At 43.1% G+C, this 14,067-nt stretch overlaps 1 protein-coding gene across 4 annotated transcripts in view; it reads right to left on the bottom strand.

Annotated features, from left to right (window-relative positions):
* The window catches only part of TGFB2 (transforming growth factor beta 2), a 99,284-nt gene that overhangs the window by 26,287 nt on the left and 58,930 nt on the right, over positions 1-14,067 (bottom strand). For all 4 annotated transcript variants that reach the window (NR_138149.2, NR_138148.2, NM_001135599.4 and 1 more), the window contains one exon: positions 13,001-13,164. Coding sequence is in view for 2 of the 4 variants with exons in the window: in NM_001135599.4 (NP_001129071.1) it covers positions 13,001-13,164 (164 nt within the window). In the remaining 2 variants the exon portion in view is untranslated. The remainder of the gene's footprint in view (positions 1-13,000; positions 13,165-14,067) is intronic.

Genomic DNA, 14,067 nt, shown 5'->3' with positions numbered 1-14,067 from the left:
CCAGCAGGGCAGTAAAATCTTAAAGCTCCAAAATGATCTCCTTAGACTCCACGTCTCAAGTCCAGGTCACGCTGATGCAAGAAGTGGGCTCCCATGGCCTTGGGCAGCTCTGCCCCCATGGCTTTGCAAGGTATAGCCCCCCTCTTGGCTGCTTTTATGGGCTAGTGTTGAGTGTCTTGTGATTTTTCCAGGCATACGGTGCAAGCTGTTGGTGGATCTACCATTCTGGGGTCTGGAAGATGGTGGCCCTCTTTTCACAGCTCCACTAGGTGGTGCCCCAGTAGAAACTCTGTGTGGGGGCTCCAACTCCATATTTCGCTTCTGCACTGCCCTAGCAGAGGTTCTCCATGAGGACCCTGCCCCTACAGCAAACTTCTGCCTGGGCATCCAGGCATTTCCACACATCTTCTGAAATCTAGGCAGAGGTTTCCAAACCCCAGTTCTTTACTTCTGTGCACTCACAGGCTCAACACCATGTAGAAGCTGCCAAGGCTTGGGGCTTGCACCCTCTGAAGCCATGGCCCAAGCTCTATGTTGGCCCTTTTCAGCCACAGCTGGAGTGGCTGGGATGCAGGGCACCAAATCCCTAGCCTGCACACAGCACAGGGACCCTGGGCCAGGCCCACAAAACCACATTTTCCTCTTAGGCCTTTAGGCCTATGATGGGAGGGGCTGCCATGAAGACCTCTGGCATGCTCTGGAGACATTTTTCCCATTGTCTTGGGGATTAACATTTGGCTCCTCATTACTTAAGCAAATTTTTGCATCCAGCTTCAATTTCACCTCAGAAAATGAGATTTTCTTTTCTATTACATTGTCAGGCTGCAAATTTTCCAAACTTTTATTTTCTGTTTCCCTTTTAAAACTGAATGCCTTTAACAGCACCCAAGTCACCTCTTGAATGCTTTGCTGCTTAGAAGTTTCTTTCACCAGATACCCTAAATCATCTGTCTCAAGTTCAAAGTTCCACAAATCTCTAGGGTAGGGGCAAAATGCCATCTGTCTCTGCTAAAACAAAGCGTAGAGTCACCTTTGCTCCAGTTCCCAACAAGTTCCTGATCTCCATCTGAGACCACCTCAGCCTAGACCTTATTGTTCATATCACCATCAGCATTTTTGTCAAAGCCATTCAACAGGTCTCTAGGAAGTTCCAAACTTTCCCACATTTTCCTGACTTCTTCTGAGCCCTCCAAACTGTTTTAACCTCTGCTCGTTACCCAGTTCCAAAGTTGCTTCCACATTTTGGGTATCTTTTCAGCAGCACCCCACTCTACTGATACCAATTCACTGTATTAGTCCATTTTCGCACTGCTGCAAGACTGGGCAATTTATAAGAGAAAAGGGTTTATTGGACTTACAGTTCCATGTGGCTAGGGAGGCCTCACAGTCATGGCAGAAGGTGAAAGGCACATCTCACATGGTGGCAGACAAGAGAAGAGAAAGAGAGCTTGTGCGGGGGACCACCTCTATTTAAAACCATCAGATCTCATGAGACTTATTCACTATCACAAGAGCAGCATGGGAAAGACTTGCTCCCATGATTCAATTACCTCCCACCCAGTCCCTCCCACAACACATTTGAATTCAAGATGAGATTGAGTGGAGACACAGCCAAACCATATCAAGGGGCCAGGGTGGAAACAGGGGGACCAACCAGGAGGCCACTGCCATGGCCCAGGTGAGGGACAAGAACTGCTTGGACAAGCATAGTAACAGCAGAGACATGGGAGGTGGCTGACTTTCAGAAATATAAGAACCAGTAAAATCAGCTGAATGACTTATCATTTTCCTCTTCCATAGAACTTTGGCAGTCTTCAAAAATCAACACTACCTTTCGCAAATCCAGATTTGTCTCCTTTGGGGAATTCTCAAGTATGTATGCTGGACTCTGCCACAGTTCTAGAACGGGGTTCCAAAAAATATCCTGAGTACTGTTGGCATTGAGAAAAAAAACATGCATGCTCCCTTGAAACAGCTTTTGCCCTAAAGGAGGTTACAGGATAGTTGGCATACTGAACATTTACAACATGAAAAAAAAAAGGAACCTTATTAAAAATCAATTGGGAAGCATATATCAAACCTATTTGTGTGGTGGTGGAGCAGGGAGAGGTAGTAACAAGACAGGAGATGAGATAAAAAGACACCCCTATTGGAGTCAGTCATTGTAATCACTCTTCAAAAAGAGAAGCAAGACAGAGCACAGCCCCCAGTTCAGCACTGCAGCCCTTAACATCTTGATAAAGCAAATGTACACAGTGATAAAACAATGGCTGTTCCCCAAAACCCTGCTCTGTCCCACTGTTAACAGAAAACAGATCAGACCACATCCAAGCAGAGATGACTGACACCACTGTTGAGTGGTTTTAGAATCACAAGCCAACCTTAGGGGAAATATGAACCATGTTCAAGATGACAAGAAAAATCCTGACAGTAACCTACTCCTTCCGCATCTTGTGTGCCAGACACTTAACCTAGGCATTCTCCTCACAGGAACTCATTAGGCAAGAAATGTTATCTCCAGTTTCAGATGAAAAACTGAGGTTCAGAGAAAGGGCTGACTGGCTGCAAAGGTCTCCTCCTTTCCCACTCTGATATGCTCATCTGCAACTTTTTTTTTTTTTTTTTTTTTTTTTCTTTTGAGACAGAGTCTCGCTCTGTCGCCCAGGCTGGAGTGCAGTGACACAGTCTGGGCTCACTGCAAATTCCGCCTACCAGGTTCAAGTGATTCTCCTGCCTCAGCCTCCTGAGTAGCTGGGATTACAGGCGCCCGCCACCACGCCTGGCTAATTTTTATATTTATAGTAGAAATGGGGTTTCACCATGTTAGCCAGGCTGGTCTCAAACTCCTGACCTCAAGTGTTCCACCCACCTCGGCCTCCCAAAGTGCTGGAATTACAGGCATGAGCCACCGCGCCCGGCCTGCTCATCTGCAACTTAATGAACCACCACAAGCTGAGTGAGTGGAAAATATTCTTGAAGGAGACCCTGAAGCAAACTCCTGGGACAGCAACCAAGAACCCAGACCCTACAGCAAGAAGGGCTAGGGGAAGCATTCATTTTTAACAGATTCTGAGCAGATCATAAATTTCACACTGTTTCTTACAACAGTTCAAACTCAATGCTCGGAAACTGTAATGATAATAATAGTAACCGCTGAGGATACAGATACTGTGCTAGAAGTTTCCATGCATTATCTCTATGCCTTATAAAATCTTTGCCAAGTAGGTGCTTTCATCTGCATTTTACTGGTGTGGAAATAGTGTTAGTGACATGACTTCCTCAGACTCCCCAAAGGACCAAAGCTATGCCTTGCACCCACCCTGATCAACTCCAAAATCTGTGTTCTTTCTGCTAGTATGGAATCATGGTCAAGAGCATGATCCCTGGGGTCAGACCGCCTGGGTTCAAATCCTGGCTCTGCTTCTTCCTACCTGCCTGGCCTGGGCAAGCTACTGAACTTCACTGTATCCTAGTTTCCTCACTTGTAAAATAAGGATGAGACCAGTACCTACCTTAGCACACAGTAATCACTGCATGTATTAGCGATAATTATCAATATTGTTACTGAGTCACATTATGAAAAAAGAATAAGATTATTAGTTACTATTGCATATTCACTAACATTTATTTGAATACAGTGGAGAAGGTCTGCTGTTCATTCTACTTTTTGGGGGGTCTTGTCTGCTGACTAATGTTATAACCTAATGCAAATGGTAACAATCCAGTTTCCTTATGAGGCAAGCACGCCATTTGATCAGTTTGAAAAAAAACCCTGAGATATTAATAGCCTTGTGCAAACAAAGTGTTTATTATACCTCATGGTGTTTTTTATTCTTTTTTTAGGTGGGTTACTATGCTATGTATGTCTCCAATGTGGCGCCGGGGCTAGGATCAGTATTAAGAAGATTGTATGCTGTAAAATTATGTACAACAGGAGCACAGTATGACTTTTTGTTTGTTTGTTTGTTTGTCAGTAGCATTTTTGCAAGTCTAATTTAACAGACAGTTTTTTGGCTGACCTCTTTTTATTTTACACCCTCTTGGGCAATATGAGAAATGAAAGCTGAACCGTGTGTGCGTGTGTGTGTGTGTGTGTGTGTGTGTGCACATGTGTTTAGGGTTAGGAAAAAGAGGCAATTTTCATTAACCCCATTAGTGCTGTGCTCCCTGGTATGACAAAAACCCCACCTTTCAATTTTGCAGCATCAGAATCCCTTAAAAGGTAGGCCTAGGCCATCTACCCTGAACTTTCACTATGAAACCTTAAGAACGTGCATTTTAAAATCTGTTGCAGAGATGTTACATATGCAATGTCCAGTAAAGGTAGCTGATGATTCACTCCCCCCACTACCATCTTCCCTTACTTATTTTGCTCCATAAACATCAATTCACCCTATCATCCTCAAGTCTGAAAAATCAGTTAATATTTACTATACAAAACTAAATGGATGTAAATGACTTAGGATTTCACCACTGTTTTATATCCTTGCAACCGATAGCCTCTAGAAATGACATTTCATCACATTTGACAAGCTGGTTACTGTTTAAATGCAAATGCAATGAGACATTAAAATCCGAAGGAAAGAGGTCAGAGCAAATGGGGGGCAGATTTTATTTTACAGATGCTCCTCGACTTACAACGGGATTGTGTCCTGATATCATACGTATGAACAAAAGTAAGTTGAGTCACTTTTACACCATCACAAAGTTGAAAAAATCTTAAATAGGGGACCATCTGTACTTTCACTTGCCAAAGTCTTGACAGTTTTCTGTAGAGAGAGGGGTCCCTTTGCCATGCTAGCGGTGGCTTCAGCTGAAGCTGGATGCCCTGCCTCTCTGTAGAAATGCACAGCGCCGATGCCTTCTCAGGCCACAGTCAAGAAATCTAAGGTCCCCTTTAAATTCACCTCAGCACATTTCTCTTCTACTGATTAACAGGAACCCATTGGCAGATGATATTCTACCAGCGCCAACAGTGACGCAACCCGGGAGGCAGAGATTGTGTGATCTCGGCTCACTGCAACCTCTGCCTCTCGGGTTCAAGTGATTCTCCTGCCTCAGCCTCCAGAGTAGCTGGGTTTACAGGCATGTGCCACCGCGCCCAGCTAATTTTTGTATTTTTTAGTAGAGATGGATTTTCACCATGTTGCCCAGGCTGGTCTTGAACTCCTGGGCTCAAGCAATCCACCTGCCTCAGCCTCCCAAAGTGCTGGGATTATAGGTGTGAGCCACCGCGCCCAGCCTCTGGGCCTAGTTTTTAAGAGGACTTGCAGCTTCTGCCTTGGACATTTGCACACTTGAATCTCCATCTAAGAAGTCAGATTACTGTTCTGGGAAGACCACATGGAGACACCTGAGACTATCAGCCCCATGGGAAAAGGCAATATTTTAGTGGCTTTTTCTCCTGATATTGTAAGATGTATGAACCTAATACATCACTCTGCTTCCCCCAGGGAGTTATTTTTGTATGACTTTATTCAGTGCTCTGAAGCTAATAAATCAGTCTTAAAAACAACCTGGCAACTGACTTTCACAGGTAACTTAGGAGAGAGCTCTTCCCACTGGAGGAATCAAAGACATAGAAGTCAAAATCTAAGCAGTGACAGCAAAGGAAGGGAACTAACACATGTTGAACACGCACTCCCCACCTGGCCGTCATAGACATTATTTCATTTCACCCTCATAATAAACCCCAAGCTAATTGGGAATTACTAAGAAAGCTTAGGTCACAACGCCCATACCATTGCATACTATGCCATGCTGCCTCAATAAGGTAAACGGGGAGGACAGACGTAGTCACCAAATCCTGGGATGTGAGTACGCACACTGAAACACGAGGAAGGTCGTTCTGACGTAATACTATGCATACCAATTAACCAAACCCACTCCTGTTTCAATCTAATCTATTCAGATATCTCTGCAACAAATATTGTTGGGTTCAAAGGAATCTCTTGATTCAGGCATATGGCTCAGTTCCTTGGAATTACATGTCTGCCCACGAAAGGAGCCCAACCAAGATGGCAAGTTGCCTGCAAATTCTCACAACTCCCTTTCTGGCAAGAATGAGTTCTGAGGCATTTCTCTGAATTCTCCAGCTTTTGCTCTAAGAGTATCTTGGGTATATGTTTATTCATAGACAGATATCACTTATATGTACATTTCTTCACAAGACCCTGAGTAACCAGAAGGTGGAGGCTAATTTATCTCCAGATGGCTGGCACCAGGTATGATGCTGATGCCAGGAGGTGCACACTCACAGTCGGCTGACTATTACTTTACTTTACACAGTGGGTTAGTGTTCCAAGATTAAAGATGGCTGCAACTTCTTTGACACATTTCCCATTGATATATGGGATCTATTTCCTTTCCCTTTGAATCTGGGCTGCCCTGTAGTTCATTTGATTAATAGAGTAAGGCAAAAGTGATGCTGTGTCATTTCTGGGCCTGCTATTTTTTTTTTTTTTTTTTGAGACTGAATTTGGCTCTGTCGCCCAGGCTGGAGTGCAGTGGTGCAATCTCTGCTCACTGCAACCTCCACCTCCCGGGTTCAAGCGATTCTCCTGCCTCAGCCTCCTGAGTAGCTGGGATTACAGGTGTGTGCCACTGTGCCTGGGTAATTTTTGTATTTTTAGTAGAGATGGTATTTCACCATGTTGCCCAGGCTTGAACTCCTGGGCTCAAGAGATCCACCTGCCTCAGCCTCTCAAAGTGCTGGGATTACATGCGTAAGCCACCATGCCCAGCCTCTGGGCTGTTTTTAAGAGGACTTGCAGTTTCTACCTTAGACATTTGCACACCTGAGTCCCCATGTAAGAAACAAGACTACTCTTCTGGGAACACCACATGGAGACATCTGAGACTATCTAGGGGGAGGAGCCCAGCTGAGCCCGGCCTTCCAGTCATTCTACTGAAGTTCCAAGCATAGGCACAAAGCCATCATCAATCCTCCAGACCAGCCCAACTGTCATCTAAATGCTACCAAGTGACCCCAGCCAAAGCCACATGGAGCAAGACAATATCCAGCCAAGCTCTGATGAAATTTCTGACCCACAAAAACTTGTGAAGTATAACAAAATGATTATTATTTGAGGCCACAACATTTTGAAGCTTGTTGTGCAGCAAATAGATAACCCAGACAGTGGTATGAATCATACTATTCTGGAGGTGGTAAGGTTTTAAATGAGAAATGACTATTGAAAGGGTGTGAGTTGGTGAGAAGAAACTAGAAATACTGGAGAGCTCCAAGTCCTCTGAGGTTAGCAAATTTAAATATAAGTATTCTTTGGTGGTCCCAAAGGATTGTTTAGGGCCATGAAGTTATGGGTACCCTTAGATATGTCATTAAGTTCCCCAAGCATTTCTTCATGTGTAAAATGGGGATTTATCCAACTCCAAGACAGCAGGTGTTCTTGCCCATATAGAAGATGTTCAACTTGAAGAGAATTCTCCTTCCTATTTTCTTTCCCTCTACCTCATACTTCTGGTCATGATTTTAATCATACATACAGGGGAAACTTAATCAAAGAAAGGTGTGTTCAAATTTACAAATGGGCTGAGAGCTATAACAACTATCATGGGTTTGAATGCATTCCTAGAGCACTGGAGTTTTGTCTGAACATATCGCAATAAAGGCTGCCTTTGGCATAAAGCTTTAAAAATATGGCAAAGATCGTTACTATCTAAAAACAGTTGTTTTTCATCTTTGTTTTCTCCTCTTTCCCTTCATCTTTCAGACACTTTATCCCTCTCATATTCCCTCCATTATTGGTATACATGGGAAGCCTATCTTGATCACACCAGTAGATGCTATTTAGAGTTTGTTAACGTGAAAGAGGTTAGAGAAAGCAGGAAAGAAAGATTTTATTTTCCTATCATTCATTAATATTCTGACACACTGTTCTGTAGAGAGGGGAGGGTAATGAAAATCGTAAGTTCACAAGCTTTCAGGTTTAAACAAGCTCAGAGTGACTTCAACAGAAGCATGGGTTTCCTAACTATCCCAGGTGGAGAGAAACAATAGACCTTCGCAGCTCTGGACAAGACAAACCCTGAACTCATGTATAGAATTGTTATCCTACGTCCATCCAGCCTCATATTGTGACTCTAAAAAGAATACCTGGCGGCATTTTTATGAGACAGAATGACTCAAAACTCTTGGGCTATATTTTAAATCTGCGAATTCCAATTGGAAGATCCAAATCTGAACAATCACACATGTGAGTCACCAGGAGAGCTCTTTGAAACCAACATCTGTGCCGAGGCAACTCTCATTTTCCTTTCCAGGGAAAATCAGAATCCCCTTGAAGGAAACTGTGGTTAGTCTTCGTAAAAGCTCCCCCAGGGATTCCAAACCTGGTGGAGTGCCTATGCTCACATGTAAGTTCACAGGCACGTGTGCACACATGTACACACATACATACTCTCCTCCTACTGAACATCAGTGTCCTGAAGAGTCCTAATAAATAATCCAAACAACCATGTAAACGACCTGAGAACCTTTTCATAGTCACCCTGTTTTCCTCTAGGGATTAGGATGCCAATTGTGTGTCAAGTAGTACAGTAATCAAAGGGTATCCAAGAACTTCAAAGGTTTTGTTCTTCTGAAGAGCTGAGCTTTCCAAATAGCTGAAGATCTGCCCATTTAAGCATCAAATCTGTTTTTTTTTTCCAAAATAATATTTCAGCAATTTTGGATGTGAAACTCTGTAAAATTTATTGCATGTGTTCAGTTTCCTGACTATAATTTAGCCTCATCTTCATAATTCAAGGTTATTACCATCGGCATCAATTCCTGTAATAGGACTAGAGATGGGAGTTTATTACCAAAGACTACAAAGACCTCCAAATGGCAGCCGGAGACAAAAGGAAAGTTGGAGAACACCATACTAAAAATAGGACTCCAAATAAAGAGGCCAGAAGCAAAAGTCAGAAGCCAGACAGGAAGCCAAAGAGATAAAGAGTGGGTTAACTATAAACAGGGTAAGATTCAGAAAACTTGTCCACAACAGGCATTGCTTCTGTGGTCTGATTATCTGAGATAGCGTTACTGTGATACAGTGGTAAAAATCTTTAGTCTAAAGCAGAAGTCCCCAACCTGGACGGTACAGGTCCATGGCCCATCAGGAGCCGGGCCGCACAGCAGGAGGTGAGCAGCAGGCAAGCAAGCAAAGCTTCATCTGTGTTTACAGCCACTCCCCATTGCTTGCAGTACTGCCTGAGCTCCACCTCCTGTCAGATTAGCGGCGGCATTAGATTCTCAAAGGAGCAAGAACCCTATTGTGAACTGCACGTGCTAGGGATCTAGGTTGCACGCTCCTTATGATAATCAAATGCCTGATGATCGGACACTGTCTCCCATCACTGCCAGATGGGACCATATATAGTTGCAGGAAAACAAGCTCAGCGCTCCCACTGATTCTATATTATGGTGAGTTGTATAATTATTTCATTATATATTACAATGAAATAAAGTGCACAATAAAAGTAATGCTCTGTGGAAAAATTGTATTCCACAAAACTGGTCCCTGGTGCCAAAAAGGCTGGGGACTGCTGGTCTAAAGGACCTGCTGTTGATGTCACGGTGTCCTCCTCTAGCCCTCCTCTTTTAATTCAGTGCTTCTAATTTCTTCTGGCCCTACAGATAGTCAAACTAGTTGAAGCAATAAAAGACAAGAGGCTGCCTTTCTGATCCATCAAAAGTGTGTGTGAGTTGTCTTCTCTTCGGGTGTTCAAGGATCTCTTTGACTTGCTCTCTGGACCTTGTCTGTGCTTCAGGAGTTGTATAGCTGAGCCCCAGAAAGATAAAAAAATTGCTATTATTTTATATTTTTCTGCTAGAATCTTCTTCTTCCAGATGCCCGTGTATAGTGACAGTGAACGTGCCCATGCTTCTCCAAACTAAAAGCTTCCATCTTGGGCCGTTCCTCTTTCAAGCGTGGGACTCTAAGCCATGCACATCATGTCACTTGCGTCATGGAGCAGCCGGTGCTTCAGAAACCTCTGAGGCACATCTACCAAGAACTCACTAAGGTCCTCTAAGTTGCCAGCCTCAAGAGAAACACCCTTTCCTGGAGATGGGATGGGCCCTGGGAGGAAAAAAGCCATTGGCAAGCCTGCTGGCAGAGGCTACTCCTCAGAGGACAGGGTCAAGGGGCCACAGAAAAATAGGGACTTAGCAGCTTCCATTACAGGTAACAGGACCTAGGTGACCCTGCCTCCAATTTACTGAAGCCATGTAACTAAAGTAGGGCCAAAGAGAGCAACCTATGATGCTATCGTCAGCAAAGAAGGAAATTTAAGGGTGATTTAATTGGTAAAAAAGAGAAGAAAAAGGAGATATAATCATGTTTTTTGTTTGTTTGTTTAAATCATCTTGTAATTTATCTGGCTACCCTTAATCTGGCTTTTTTTCATAGGAACCAGTTTTTGCTTCCCCTCCAAATATTACTTCATCCTCTAGCCTAGTTTGTCTTATTATTCTTCTATTCTGGCTGATCCCAAGGGTAAGAGAAAGGGAAAATTTTGCTAGGAATAGCATAGTATGTGGTGAGGGGCAGGAGGGACTTGGGAGTCCGAGGTGGATTTGTATCCCAGCCCTGCCATTTCCCACCTGTGTGACCCTGGCCAAGTTACTTAATTTCTCTGGGATTTAGCACCATTCTCTGTGAAATGGAAAAGAATATAATAGCAGAAAGAATACTTCATTGTACAAACTTCATAGTATAGCTGTGAGTATCATTGGAAACAATACTTCTGAGTCTTTGCTCAGCATAGTGTCTGGTCACACAAGCATGCTCTCTGACCTTGGGGCGACGAGCAACGGCTGGCCCATTGGTGCTACCCAGAATGCCAGTTAGGATTTAAAAGTCTCAAAAACAGGTTCTCGAGGGCCTATTTAAATAAGTAAGAATTATTCTTCATGAACACACATGTGAACTAGTACTTTAAAACTGGGGCCAGGCACAGTGCCTCATGCCTGTAATCCCAGCACATTGGGAAGCAGAGGTGGGATGATCTCTTGAGCTCAAGAATTAAGAGACCAGCCTTGGCAACAAAGCGAGAACTCATCTGTACTAAAAATTAAACAGAAAAATACATTAGAGTTAGGCGTGGGGATGCACACCTGTAGGATCGCTTGAGCCCTGGAAGTTGAGGGTGCAGTGAGCTATGACTGCACCACTGCATTCTAGCCTGGGTGACAGAGCAAGATGCTGTCTCAAAAAAACAGAAAAAGAAAACAAAATGACTGCTTTAAGTATTTTAAACTATTCTTCAGGTCTCATATTCATTTGTGTGGTAGTTCTCTATTTTCATAATGAATACAAAGAAAATTTTGATCCTAATTATCACAAATTCCAAATGATTAGAGTCCAGAAAAACTAGCGGTTTCTGCACATAGATGCCAATTTCTTTTTCTCAAGTAATCCCATGTTTTAATCATATTGTCACACATATATACCCCTTATCACGGGGATCCCAAGGGGTTTTTTCTTAATCCTCTGTAGTGTCACTCTACACACTATCTTTGGAGGGCCACCTTCTCCCCAGTCTCTCCTCACCTCCAGGCACTGAGCGCTATGCATCAGGTACCCTCAGCAAGCCCATTCAAGACTGTCTTTGCAGTGCCTGCCCTTCCTGCCAAGAATGATGATCCCCCATCAGGTTTTAATAGATACGTCTCAAGGCCTCATCAAAATGTCAGCTCCCTGGTGAAATTTCCCCGCCTATACCCTATATGCAAGTACCACTATTCATATGGCATCAGGATGTATTTAAGTTGCCTGTTTACAAGGCTGCACCAGACTCAGGATTTTTCAAGTGGTTCTTTAATGTGCACAAGAAGCACCTGCGGATCTTGTTAAAATGGGGATTCTGATTCTGTAAAGTCTAGGGTGGGGCCTGAGATTCTACATTTCTCACAGCCCCAGGTGATGCCGATGCAAATGCCCTGTAGACTACACTCGGGTAACAAGCTTTTAAGAACATCTCTGAAAATCTCAGCAAGTTGGCATTTCATCATCATCATCATTACATTTTGACGCAGCTGCCCACCAACTCCAACTCCACTACAAAGATGAGAACAGGAGACATCAGGGCTGTCCAAATAATGGAGGAAAGTGTGTGTGTGTGTGTGTGTGTGTATTGAGTGGGTAGACTGGAGACAGTGGGTAGAATTAGAAAGGAAAAGGAAACGGGATAAAGTTAATAAAGAGAAGGAGGTTGCAAAGAGAGGAGAAAAAAGTGAAAAAGGAAGAGAGAAGACAATAAGAAAACAAAGAGAAAATCATAGAAAAGGAGAAAGAAACAGCTATAGGATGAATAAAGGAAGGTCAACTGACTGTTCCCCAGGAAGAAATCGGACCTACATTATCTGACTTTATAGTTTAACGGGTTGACTTCTGGAACCAAACCCTCTGAAGAGTACATACTCCAGCTGTTCATGCAACTGAGGAAGTGTGCTCAGAGCTTCAATACTGCATTCTAAAGGGTTCTTCCCTCCTGAGTGATTAGGAACAAGCTATTACTAGAACAGTAATAGTAAATGAGGGCCTATATCACGATTGTGAATATATAGCATGGCTTATATCAGCTAAGAAAATCTAAGACACTAGAATTCTTTTACTCTAAGACCTCAAACTGATTGCCCATTACAACAACCTAAATGAGCCAGGTATGGTGGCTCATGTCTGTAATCCCCAAACTTTTTGAGGCCAAGGTGGGAAGATTGCTTAAGGCCAGGAGTTCCAGATCAGCCAGGGCAACACGGTGAGACCTCGTATCTAAAAAAAGTTTTTTAAAAAGATAATCGGGTGTGATGGTGCACTCCTGCAGTCCCATTGACTAGGGAGGCTGAGGCAAGCGGATCGTTTGAACCCAGGAGTTCAAGGTTGCAGTGAGCTGTGATCATGCCACTGTACTCTAGCCTGTGACAGAGAGAGAGAGAGAGAGTCTGTCTAAAACAACAACAACAACAACAACAACAACAACAAATGAACATTACCTGATATAGCTCAATCCGTTGTTCAGGCACTCTGGCTTTTGGGTTCTGCAAACGAAAGACTCTGAACTCTGCTTTCACCAAATTGGAAGCATTCTTCTCCATTGCTGAGACGTCAAATCGAACAATTCTGAAGTAGGGTCTGTAGAAAGTGGGCGGGATGGCATCTGTAAAAAATTAGGGCAATCATTGAAAATGATAAAATCCATTGTGCTTTCAGAGAAGACTGTAGCGTGAGATAATCCCAAGAAACCATAAGGGAAATATCTACAGAATAGTTTCCAACGGCCAGTTTAATACCATTAACAATGTAACCAGAAAAAAAAGAAATAAAATAAACATGTGCATTTAGTTACAGGAGTAGCAAATTAATAGAGATTAACAAACCACTTCCAACTCCATTTGAAAGCATGCAGTTAACCCCATCCTTTGAAGGCTGACAGACTGGTGGAAATCATAGATGGTTTTGAATTGGAACAAGTTTATGACAGTTCATGCCTGGAGAGAGCTGTCAGGCCTGCATACACTTTAATCAGATGTGCCAAGAAAATAGTTCCTAATGGCCAGCAGTTTGCCCATGTATTTTTTTTCCTTGAAAGTTTGTCATCCAAATAATCTTTTTTTAACCAGGCTCATATATCGAATCTCTTTTGGCTTCAATATTTTAGTTTTTCACACACATATGACTTAACATATTCTCTAGTCAAGTTATGATGAGGAAATTTGAATAAACAAAAGTATAACCCACGTACTAGCTTATACCAGATCCAGTTTTAAAATTCTTTATGCAGGATAATGTCTGTTGGCGGGAGGTCATCCTAGCTAATGAAGAAAAAGAATTGGCACAAATTCCTTCAGTTCTAAACCATGTAAAATACAGAGTTGCTGATGGTACATGACATTTTAAAGCTTCTGGGAAGGACGGGCACAGTGGGTCACGCCTGTAATTCCAACAACACTTTGGGAGGCTGAGGTGGGCAGACCACTTAAGGTCAGGAGTTTGAGACCAGCCCTGGCCAACATGGCAAAACCCTGTTTCTACTAAAAATACAAAAATTAGCCAGGCGTGG

The sequence above is a fragment of the Homo sapiens genome, chromosome 1 (assembly GCF_000001405.40).
Source record: "Homo sapiens chromosome 1, GRCh38.p14 Primary Assembly".
Lineage (NCBI taxonomy): Eukaryota > Metazoa > Chordata > Mammalia > Primates > Hominidae > Homo > Homo sapiens.
This window is presented reverse-complemented; position numbering and strand designations above follow the sequence as displayed.